General features: G+C 42.6%; 1 pseudogene; it reads left to right on the top strand.

Annotated features, from left to right (window-relative positions):
* On the top strand, window positions 8152-9625 carry LOC392264 (zinc finger protein 532 pseudogene; annotated as a pseudogene).
* The last annotated feature ends 2737 nt before the right edge of the window (window positions 9626-12362 follow it).

Raw genomic sequence — 12362 nt, 5'->3', positions numbered from 1 at the left:
ATATTCAGCTCTTTGAGGAAACTGATCTTTAAATTTGATCTTTTCTCCAAAGAGAAAGAAAAGTGCCATCTTCTCAGAATGGGGAAAAATATTTTCTTTCTTAAAATCCTGTTTAGAAACTTTGGGCCAACCTTTCATTCATCAGATATGAAATGTTACCAGAGTAGGATGCCCAGAGCCACAGCAGCAGGATTGCAAGAGCTTGCCACCTCTTTTCTCTAAAATGTCTCTAGCAACACCCTCTTTGCCACTTGGCCAGTGTGGACAGAGGCCCAGGCCCAGCCATTGCAGTCATATTCATAGACTAGTGATTGACGGCATCTGTTTAGTGCATACCTGTTGCATGCAGAGTGCTCTGTTGGGCTTACTGTGACAAGTGGGAGAAAATAGAGCTGACCATGTCCTCACAGTGCTGGTTAGTTAGTTAGAAGGGGGTGTAGTGAGGTATGATTTCTCAACTAAGGAGACTGCATGTCCAAAGGCAGGAACTCATATTAATCATGGATTGCTGGGATGACAGGAAAATGTTAGAGGGACCAACTCATTGCATACAAGGTAGGGAGTCTTAAAGGATGAAGCTTGAGAATTAGTTTGCTACCAGATCATAAAGGGCCTTGAACATTCTGCTAAGGGTTTGGGAATTTATTCTGCAGGCAATAGGAAGTTTTTGAGAAGTTTAAGCTGAGGATTAGAATAATTTGAAGTTTAGAAAGCCCAAGCTGGATCAGGCACGGTGGCTCATGTCTGTAATCCCAAGTATTTGGGAGGCTGAGGGAAGTGAATAGCTTGAACCCAGGGGTTCAAAACCGGCCTAGGCAACTTGGTGAGACCCTATATCTACAAAAAATACAAGAACAATCTGGATGCGGTGGTGTGTGCCTGTGGTCCCAGCCACTCAGGAGGCTGAGATGGGAGGATCACTTGAACTCAAGAGGTCAAGGCTGCAGTGATCCATGATTGTGCCACTTCACTACAGCCTGGGGGACAGACCAAAAAAAGAAAAAGAAAAGAGGCCAGGTGTGGTGGCTTATGCCTGTTATCCCAGCACTTTGGGAGGCCGAGGTGGGCAGATCACCTGAGGTCAGTTGTTCCAGACCAGCCTGGCCAACATGGCAAAACCCCATCTCTACTAAAAAACACAAAAAAATTAGCCAGGTATGGTGGCGGGTGCCTATAATTCCAGCTACTCAGGAGGCTGAGGCAGGAGAATCGCTTGAACCCAGGAGGCGGAGGTGGCAGTGAGCTGCGATCACTCCATTGCACTCCAGCCTGCGCAACAAGAGTGAAACTACATCTCAAAACAAAAACAACAAAACAAAACAAAAAAGAAAGTCCACATTGATGGAAAAAGGACATGTTTGGTGTTTGTCTGGAGGCTATTTCAGTCACTAGATTCAGAGAAGTTGAGTGTTTGAATTATGTCAGTGGCAGCAGAAATGCATGAGAGAGTGAAATGATGTTTAGGAGGCAGCCTCAGTGGGACTTGGTGTGAAAGGTGAGGGACAATGATGAGTCCAGAAAGACTTCTAGGTTTCTGGCCTGGTTTCTACATTGATGGTGCTCCGAAAAAAGGCAAGTGATATAGTAGGCATAGATTTTGTGTTTGTAGCTAAAGAGTTCAATTTCTGACATGTTGGGTTTGAGATGAACACTCCAACACTCTGAGATGCAACAGGGATGCACATTGACAGTTTTATCTAGAGAACTGGGTTTTGGGAGTGAGCTCCAGGAAGGAGATATAGATCTGGGTTCACTGTCTGTGATAAAGGCAGGAGAGTGAGTGCATGTGATCACCCAGGGGACAGAGGATTGAACTTTTGTGAACACCTTGACTGGGGATGGGAGATAAAAGTGGAGGCAACTAAAAAGGAGCAGCCATAGAGGTAGAAGAAAAACCAGGAGGGAGTGATGCTCTAGAAACCTATTGCAGCAAGAGTCTAAAGAAGGAGGAAATGGTATGCAGAGCCAAATAATGTTGAAAAGGCTAATATGTAGAGATTGATAAATATTTGTCTGTTGGAATTAGCAACAGAATGATCATAGCTGATTTTGGCAATGGCAACTTCAGAAATGGCGAGGGAAGAAGCTGGCTCAAAACTGAGCAAAGTGAAAGGAGGTGAGAAAGTGAAAACAGTCAGTATCAAATGCTCTTTTTAAAAGTAGCTTGGCTGTGAAGAGAGTCAGAGATAAAGGGTGATGAAGAAAGGACTGTATATGTTAAAGGGACAGATTTTTAGAGCTGGAAGAGGCTTGGACATGCTGTGTGCTATTGAGAAAGAGCAATTAGGAATGGAATGCCTAAGCTGCTGATGAGAGAAGAATTGCTTGCAGAGTGGGCCAACAGATGGTTACATGTTTCATCTGCAGTCATCGTGTTTCTACTGCTTCCGTCATCTCGCTTTATGCCTCTCTCTCTCCCCTGCTTCTTGCCTTCTTTGCTGCTTATCACAGGTCTGGTGAAATCTTTAGACAATATCTCTGGTTGTCGTGGTACCTAGGAGTGGCTACGTGAGCGAGAGACAGGCAGACGCTACTCTTATTTCCATATGCAGGACTGCCACTTATGAACCAAGAACACACAGGATCTATGTAAAGTTGATTTCCATACCCCATAACAAAAGAATACTAAGAATTCTGTATCTTTTCTACAGGCATCATATCAAAAAATGCACTTGGAAGCTTGGTCTCAGGCCACTGATAATGTGGCAAAGGTAGCAATAAAGTGCCCCTTGGCTGCTGTTATTACTTTAATGGAATTGCAAATTGAAATGTAAATTTCATGTCCTATTTTCCTGAGCGGCCAGGATTCTCTAATGGAAGAAGAAAGCAGAGATCTTCATGAATTGGTCAGAAAATGAGAGCTGATTCATCAGCCTTCATCACAATATTTTACAGTTGACATTCACATAGCTCAGGAGCTCTGTTTGAGTTGATTTTACGTGAAAAAGTTTAACTCAAGCTGGGCACTGAAATCTTAATGAAGCTTTTGTCGAAGTGTGATCCCCAAAGCTTAGGCAAGGTGAAGAGGGCATCCATGCAAGAGAGGCAGAGTGTTGGGCCTGACTGTGTTGAAGAAGATGTCTATGCATGGGGCAGAATGGGGAGAGCATCCCCAGATGGGTGATCTAGGGCAGAATCGGGGGGAGGAGAACATCTGCTTGGATGAGGGCACCTGGCATGGGAAGTCAGAAACCAAGTGGGATGAGGAGGATGTTTGCATGGGGAAATGACCCTGAATTGAGTGTTGATGCCTGAGTGGGTGGGGGGCATTCTATACGGGGGAGGGGGTGGTGTAGAAGAGGAGAGATTTGGCACAGAAAGTGGGATTGCTCATGTAAGTAAATACATTAAAGATAAGAGAGCCAGATTTCCCTGTTGGAGAAAGGAGTTACAAACATGGAAAGAAAGAATACTCGAATTAATTTGATGGTATTGAATTGGAATTGGAAGTATATTGTGACCTTATGGTTTTTTTTCCTTTTTCTTTCTTTCTTTCTTTTTTTTTTTTTTTTTGAGATGGAGTCTCTCTCTTGTCACCCAGCCTCGAGTGCAATGGCATGATCTTGGCTCACTGCAACCTCTGCCTCCTGGGTTCAAGCGATTCTCCTGCCTCAGCCTCCCAAGTAGCTGGGATTAGAGGTGCCTGCCACCATGCCTGGGTAATTTTTGTATTTTTAGTAGAGAGGGTGTTTCACCCTGTTGGCTAAGCTGGTCTCGATCTCCTGACCTCAGGTGATCTGCCTGCCTCAGCCTCCCAAAGTGCTGGAATTACAGGCAGGAGCCACTGTGCCTGGCCAGTTTGCTTTTTTATTTATTTATTTATTTTTTTGAGACAGAGTTTCACTCTTGTCGCCCAGGCTGGAGTGCAATGGCATGATCTCAGCTCACTGCAACCTCTGCCTCCTGGGTTCAAGTGACCTCAGCCTCCTGAGTAGTTGGGGTTACAGGCATGTGCCGCCACACCTGTCTAATTTTTGTATTTTTAGTAGAGATGGGGTTTCACCATGTTGGCCAGGCTGGTCTCGAACTCCTGACTTCAGGTGATCCACCCGCCTCAGCCTCCCAAAGTACTGGTATTACAGGTGTGAGCCACTGTGCCCGGTATGGTTTTCAATATATAGAGATATATAAATAAATATAGGAATGCATGTGTATAGGTATACATGTATACACACACACACACACACACACACACACACACACACACACATTCCCCATCTCTGTCCACTGAGACATTCCAGTAGCAGGAAACATGCTTAGCACCCACATCTTGGCTTCTAAATATTGTTTTCCACTAAAATGAGCCAGGGATCCTTGAGGAAATGGCTGATTCCAGGTCTAGAGCAGGGAAAATGTAACATGAACCTAGAACATTCTCCAGGAAGCAAAGGAATGCTCAAACAATAATGGAGACTCATCGAAGAAACACCACAGCCAGTTTGAAGGGCTTTTTAGTGGGAAGTGGGGATGACAGTAATAGGTGGTAATATATACATTAGTATAAATAGGTGATAATGTGTACATGAGTAAAGTAAAAAACTAGATTTGATATAGACATAAATATATGAATAAATGGAAAATTTGGGGTGTAATGGGATATTTACATAGTCTTAAACCTCTTTTCTTCAAAATACTTATTAATTTGAAAGGAAAAAGAATAACTTAATAGTGGAGAAGCCTAGGTGACACCATCTCAATTAAGTGATACAATTAACATCATCAGTAGCGGGACAAATTGAAATCATGTGCCCCCTAATAAAAGGCATTGAAAAGTTCGGCAATGCTTTCGTGATACTTCTGTCAAGGGTGGATAGGTTGAATCTAATCATGAAGAAACATCACTATACAAACCTAAATTAAAAAATATTCCACAAGATAACTTGCCTGTAACTTCCAAAAGAATTGAGGTCATGAAAGTCAAGAAAAAGCAAACTGTTTCACACTGAAAAAGTCTCAAGAAACTTGATAACTAAATGCAATATGTGATTTCTTTTTATATGAATGAGACAGTTGGTGAAAGTTGAAAAAGACCTGAAGATTAATGGTAGGACTATGTCAGTCTTAACTTCCTGATTTTTTTTTATTTTTTTAAGACAGGGTCTGGCTCTGTTGCCCAGGCTGGAGTGCAGTGGTGCAATCATGGCTCACTGCAGCCTTGACTTCCTGGGCTCAAGCGATGATGCTGCCACCTCAGCCTTCTGAGTAGCTGAGACTACAGGCACATGCCACCAAGCCTGCCTAAATTTTGTATTTTTTGTTTTTGGTAGAGTAGGAGTTTCACCATGTTGCCCAGGCTGGTCTCAAACTCCTGAGCTCAAGCAATCTGCCTGTCTTGGCCTCCCAAAGTGCTGGAATAACAGGCATGAGCCACCGCGCCAGGCCTAACTTCCTGATTCTGATGGTTGCCTTGTGGTTACAGGAGAATGTCCTTGCTTGTAGGATATGCACATTTGGGAAGTTAAAGCATCATGCTTGCTTCTGAATCCTAAAGGCTTTATAAAAAAAGTCTTTGAACTGTGTTTGCAGCTTTTCTGTGTTTGTGATTATTCCAAAATAAAAACAATATCTTTTTAAAAAGCACATTTCTCTGTTCTCATCCCTAGAGATTCTTCTGGGAGTCTCGGGTGAGGCGGTGGTGGGGCTCCTAAAATTTGTCTTTTAAAATTAATTTCTAGGAGGTATGATGCAGGGTGGCGTACAGAGTCCATCCTTTGAGAATCAGTGGGCTGAACAGTACAAACAAAAAGGGAAGTTGCCAATCAGAGAAACATGTGACGATCAAACCCATCTAAGTCCAATCACTGGATTGGGAGACATGAAAAACCCAGCCTTTTCCTTAAATGCTTCATACTCAACAGAACTCAAGGGAGGGCCACTCAAAGGAAGATTTGCCTTATGTCATGAATGCGCTCATTATTTTTTTTTTCAGGTGAGGAAATTGAAGCCCAGAGGGTTTAAATAGGTTTCCCGAGAGTTCATTTTCTAGATTTCTGACCTCTCTGACACCTAAATTCAGACTCTTTTCTCCAAGTCAGATTAATCTCTTCCCCATCTCCCTACTCTTTCATTGCTAATGATCCAAGGAAGAGGTTTCAAAGTCAACTTTTTCCACATCTTCTCTCCATTTTTTTTTCCTCTCATCTAGATTTTCCCTGTCAATGGCTTACTGGACTTGGCAGCCCCCCTGCAGATCTTTGTTTGGGGATGGAGGTGTGGATGATGGCGACACCAGGGTGTGCTTGGATTAACTCTTTGGATACAGTGCCCAGTCTGATTTCAGGTCAGCATAACCAGCTCTTTGGACAACACAGCAGTTTTTTGGCCTCAAGTGCTTCCAAGCAGAGGAAGGAAATTGGCTGAACTTCAAAGCGAGCCTTGCATGGTGCCATAAGTTCTGATCATTTATTAGTGTGCTTTAATAGTTGTAAATTAATCTCAAATATACATGGAGGCCAGAAGTAGCTGGAGGTGTGGGAACAGCCTGCTCTCACCCTTGTTTCCTGGAAATTTAGAACATTTCCCAGTTTCAGTTTTCAGAAGGTTAGGGTCAATTTGGGGGTTATGGTTATTTTCAAAGCTTTAAACAAAACCAAGCCTGTTCTTGACCAAGTTAGTGCTATTTAATTTATGCTTCATATATTTTATAAGTACTTCTTTTTTATTCATTTTTCCACCCCATGATTTGTTAAAAAGCAACTTGATTGAGGTAGAATTCACATATAATAAATACAACTTTTAAAGTGTATAGTTCCATGAGATTTTACAAATGTAAACACTCATGTAACCACCACTCCAATTAAGATATGGAATATTTCCATGAACGCAGACTTTTCAGTCAGTCCCTTCCTATCCAGGGACACTCACTGATGAGATTTCTATCACCATTGATTTTGCCTGTTCTAGAAGTACATATAAATAGAATTATACAGCATGCACTCTTTTTGTCTCTGGAAATGTTTTTGAGATCCATCCATGTTTTTGCATATGTCAGTAGTTTATTACCTTCTCCTACTTTTAATCAATGGTAAGTTTATGTAATTTATATTTATAACTTTTTATTTTGAAATGTTTAGACCTATAGAAAAGTGGCATAATATTACAGAGTTCTTACATAACCTATATCCAGCTTTCCCTTGTGTTAACATCTTACATAATTGATACAGTGATCAAAACTAAGAATTAAATGTTTATAAAATATCACTAGCAAAACCATAGACTTTATTCACATATCTCTATTTTTTCCACCAATGAGCTTTTTGAAACCTGTGTCAGGGTTCAAGCCAGGATATTATATTGTGTTTAATTATCATGTTTCCATAGTTTCCTTCAGTCTATGACAGTTTCTCAGTCTTTCCTTAGCTTTCATGATCTTGACACTTTCGAAGAGCAGCCATTAGGTATTTTTGTAAAATGCCACTCCATTAGGCTTCTTATGATGATTTCTCATGACTAGGCTGAAGTTACAGATTTTTGGGAAAAGTACCAGAGAGGTATGTGACATGACATTGAGGGCACATAATGTCAATGTGTTTTATTATGGATTATGTTAATTTTTATCAGTTGTTTAGGTGGCATCTGTCAGGTTTCTTCACTGTACGGTTATTTTTTTTGTTTTGTTTTGTTTTGTTTTTTTTTTTTTTTGAGACATAGTCTCACTCTGTCACCCTGGCTGGAGTACAGTGGTGTGATCGCTACTCACCACAACCTCTACCTCCCGGGTTCAAGTGATTCTCCTGCCTCAGCCTCCCCGGTAGCTGGGATTACAGGCATGCACCACCATGCCTGGAAAATTTTTGTATTTTCACTACAGACAGGGTTTCATCATGTTGGCCAGGCTGGTTTCGAACTCCTGACTTCAGGTAATCCACCTGCCATGGCTTCTCAAAGTGCTGGGATTACAGGTGTGAGCCACCATGCCCAGCCAGTTATTATTTTCTCTGTTTTCATATTCTATTTTAGAAGCACGTCATTAAGTTTAGTCCACACTCAAGGTGAGGGAAATTAAGCTTCCCCTCTGCACCTCTGAAGAGAGGAGTATTAAAGAATTTTTAGACATACATTAAAACTACTACAGTAATTAATAAATATTTCTGGGGAGATAATTTGAGGCTATGCAGATAAGCTGTTTCTCTTGAAGACAGGAGAACCAAAAATAATATGTAAGTGATCTATGTGTGACACTGTGTTCACCTTGCAAACCTTGCTGTATCACCACTTTGACAAACACATTGAAAACCAGAGGGTGTCTGTTTTCAAGTGTCCAGACTGTTCTCTTTTATATGCACAGAAGCAACTTATGATGGACCATATCAAGTCTATGCATGGAACATTGGAAAGTATTGAAGGGCCTCCAAACTTGGGTATAAACTTGCCTTTGAGCATTAAGCCTGCAACTCAAAATTCAGCCAATCAGAACAAAGGGGACACCAAATCCATGAATGGGAAAGAGAAATTGGAAAATAAATCTCCATCTCCTGTGAAAAAAAATCAATGGAAAATAAGAAAGTGGCCAGTCCTGGGTGGACGTGTTGGGAGTGTGACCGCCTGTTCATGCAGAGAGATGTGTACATATCCCACATGAGGAATGAGCACGGGAAGCAAATGAAGAAACACCCCTGCCGCCAGTGTGACAAGTCTTTTAGTTTGTCCCACAGCCTGTGCTGGCACAACCGGATCAAGCACAAAGGCATCAGGCAAGGCCCAGACTCCAGACGTACCTTTACCAAACGATTGATGCTGGAGAAGCACGTTCAGCTGATGCATGGTATCAAGGACCCTGACCTGAAAGAAATGACAGATGCCACCCATGAGGAGGAAACAGAAATAAAAGAAGACAACCAAGGTCCCCAGTCCCAAGCAGAAGTTGGAAGAACCAGTTCTGGAGTTCAGGCCTCCCCAAGGAGCAATCACTCAACCACTGAAAAAGCTGAAAATCAATGTTTTTAAGGTTCACAAGTGTGCCATGTGTGGCTTCACCACCGAAAACCTGCTGCAGTTCCACGAACACATCCCTCAGCACAAATCGGATGGTTCTTCATACCAGCACCGGGAGTGTGGCCTCTGTTACACATCTCATGTCTCTCTGTCCAGGCACCTCTTCATCGTACACAAGTTAAAGGAACCTCAGCCAGTGTCCAAGCAAAATGGGGCTGGGGAAGATAACCAACAGGAGAACAAACCCAGCCATGAGGATAATCCCCTGATGGCACCGTGTCAGACAGAAAGTGCAAAGTGTGCACAAAAACTTTTGAAACTGAAGCTGCCTTAAATACGGACACACGGCATGGCCTTCATCAAATCCAAAAGGTTGAGCTCAGCCGAGAAATAGCCACAGATGCTCCATGAGGAAAATCCCTGTCCACACTGGAATAAAAAAGACATTTTTGTTACAAAAATTTGCCGTATAATAGAGTTAACAGTACTGTCTAGGCTGTTGCAATATATTCTCTTTCAACGTACCTTCCTTCACCTCGTCCTATATATCCTCGATAAGTATTAAAACAGTATTTGAGTTTAAAACAGTTTGTATATATTTAAATGAATAACTTTTTATATTCTTTGTTACATGTTTGTATCAGTATTTAGTGGAAAACCATTTGAGTTGTTTGGGTTAGAATTTTTCTTTTTGTACTGTTTCTTTAAAACAGTTCTTAGTAATAGGGGCAATTCCTGAATTCAAGTAAACCATTTTGTATGTTTAAAAAAAAAACAAAAAAGAGGAGGAGCCAAGATGGCCGAATAGGAACAGCTCTGGTCTACAGCTCCCAGCGAGAGCGACGCAGAAGAGGGGTGATTTCTGCATTTCCATCTGAGGTACCGGGTTCATCTCACTAGGGAGTGCCAGACAGTGGGGACAGATCAGTGGATGTGTGCACCGTGCGCGAGCCAAAGCAGGGCGAGGCATTGCCTCACTCGGGAAGCACAAGGGATCCCTTTCCTAGTCAAAGAAAGGGGTGACAGACGGTACCTGGAAAATCGGGTCACTCCCACCCGAATACTGCACTTTTCCGACAGGCTTAAAAAATGGCGCACCAGGAGATTATATCCCGCACCTGGCTTGGAGGGTCCTATGTCCACGGAGTCTCACTGATTGCTAGCACAGCAGTCTGAGCTCAAACTGCAAGTCGGCATGGAGGCCGGGGGAGGGGCACCCGCCATTGCCCAGGCTTGCTTAGGTAAACAAAGCAGCCGGGAAGTTCGAACTGGGTGGAGCCCACCAGAGCTCAAGGAGGCCTGCCTGCCTCTGTAGGCTCCACCTCTGGGGGCAGGGCACAGAAAAACAAAGAGACAGCAGTACACTCTGCAGACTTAAATGTCCCTGTCTGACAGCGTTGAAGAGAGCAGTGGTTCTCCCAGCATGCAGCTGGAGATCTGAGAATGGGCAGACTGCCTCCTCAAGTGGGTCCCTGACCGCTGACCCCCGAGCAGCCTAACTGGGAGGCACCCCCCAGCAGGGGCACACTGAAACCTCACATGGCCGGGTACTCCAACAGACCTGCAGCTGAGGGTCCTGTCTGTTAGAAGGAAAACTAACAAACAGAAAGGACATCCACACCAAAAACCCATCTGTACATCACCATCATCAAAGACCAAAAGTACATAAAACCACAAAGATGGGGAAAAAACAGAGCAGAAAAACTGGAAACTCTAAAAAGCAGAGCACCTCTCCTCCTCTGAAGGAACGCAGTTCCTCACCAGCAACGGAACAAAGCTGGACGGAGAATGACTTTGACGAGTTGAGAGAAGAAGGCTTCAGACGATCAAATTACTCCGAGCTACGGGAGGACATTCAAACCAAAGGCAAAGAAGTTGAAAACTTTGAAAAAAAATTAGAAGAATGTATAACTAGAATAACCAATACAGAGAAGTGCTTAAAGGAGCTGATGGAGCTGAAAACCAAGGCTCGAGAACTACGTGAAGAATGCAGAAGCCTCAGGAGCCGATGCAATCAACTGGAAGAAAGGGTATCAGCGATGGAAGATGAAATGAATGAAATGAAGCCAGAAGGGAAGTTTAGAGAAAAAAGAATAAAAAGAAATGAACAAAGCCTCCAAGAAATATGGGACTATGTGAAAAGACCAAATCTACCTCTGATTGGTGTACCTGAAAGTGATGGGGAGAATGGAACCAAGTTGGAAAACACTCTGCAGGATACTATCCAGGAGAACTTCCCCAATCTAGCAAGGCAGGCCAACATTCAGATTCAGGAAATACAGAGAACACCACAAAGATACTCCTCGAGAAGAGCAACTCCAAGACACATAATTGTCGGATTCACCAAAGTTGAAATGAAGGAAAAAATGTTAAGGGAAGCCAGAGAGAAAGGTCGGGTTACCCTCAAAGGGTAGCCCATCAGACTAACAGCAGATCTCTCGGCAGAAACTCTACAAGCCAGAAGAGAGTGGGGGCCAATATTCAACATTGTTAAAGAAAAGAATTTTCAACCCAGAATTTCATATCCAGCCTAACTGAGCTTCATAAGTGAAGGAGAAATAAAATACTTTACAGACAAGCAAATGCTGAAAGATTTTGTCACCACTAGGCCTGCACTAAAAGAGCTCCTGAAGGAAGCACTAAACTTGGAAAGAACAACCGATACCAGCCACTGCAAAATGATGCCAAAATGTAAAGACCATCGAGACTAGGAAGAAACTACATCAACTAATGAGCAAAATAACCAGCTAACATCATAATGACAGGATCAAATTCACACATAACAATATTAACTTTAAATGTAAATGGACTAAATTCTCCAATTAAAAGACACAGACTGGCAAATTGGATAAAGAGTCAAGACCCATCAGTGTGCTGTATTCAGGAAACCCATCTCACGGGCAGAGATGCACATAGGCTCTAAATAAAAGGATGGAGGAAGAGCTACCAAGCAAATGGAAAACAAAAAAAGGCAGGGGTTGCAATCCTAGTCTCTGATAAAACAGACTTTTAACCAACAAAGATCAAAAGAGACAAAGAAGGCCATTACATAATGGTAAAGGGATCAATTCAACAAGAAGAGCTAACTATCCTAAATATATATGCACCCAATACAGGAGCACCCAGATTCATAAAGCAAGTCCTGAGTGACCTACAAAGAGACTTGGACTCCCACACATTAATAATGGGAGACTTTAACACCCCACTGTCAACAGTAGACAGATCAACGAGACAGAAAGTCAACAAGGATACCCAGGAATTGAACTCAGCTCTCCACCAAGTGGACCTAATAGACATCTACAGAACTCTCCACCCCAAATCAACAGCATATGCATTTTTTTCAGCACCACACCACACCTATTCCAAAATTGACCACATACTTGGAAGTAAAGCTCTCCTCAGCATATGTAAAAGAACAGAAATTATAA

The sequence above is a fragment of the Homo sapiens genome, chromosome 8 (assembly GCF_000001405.40).
Source record: "Homo sapiens chromosome 8, GRCh38.p14 Primary Assembly".
NCBI lineage: Eukaryota > Metazoa > Chordata > Mammalia > Primates > Hominidae > Homo > Homo sapiens.
This window is presented reverse-complemented; position numbering and strand designations above follow the sequence as displayed.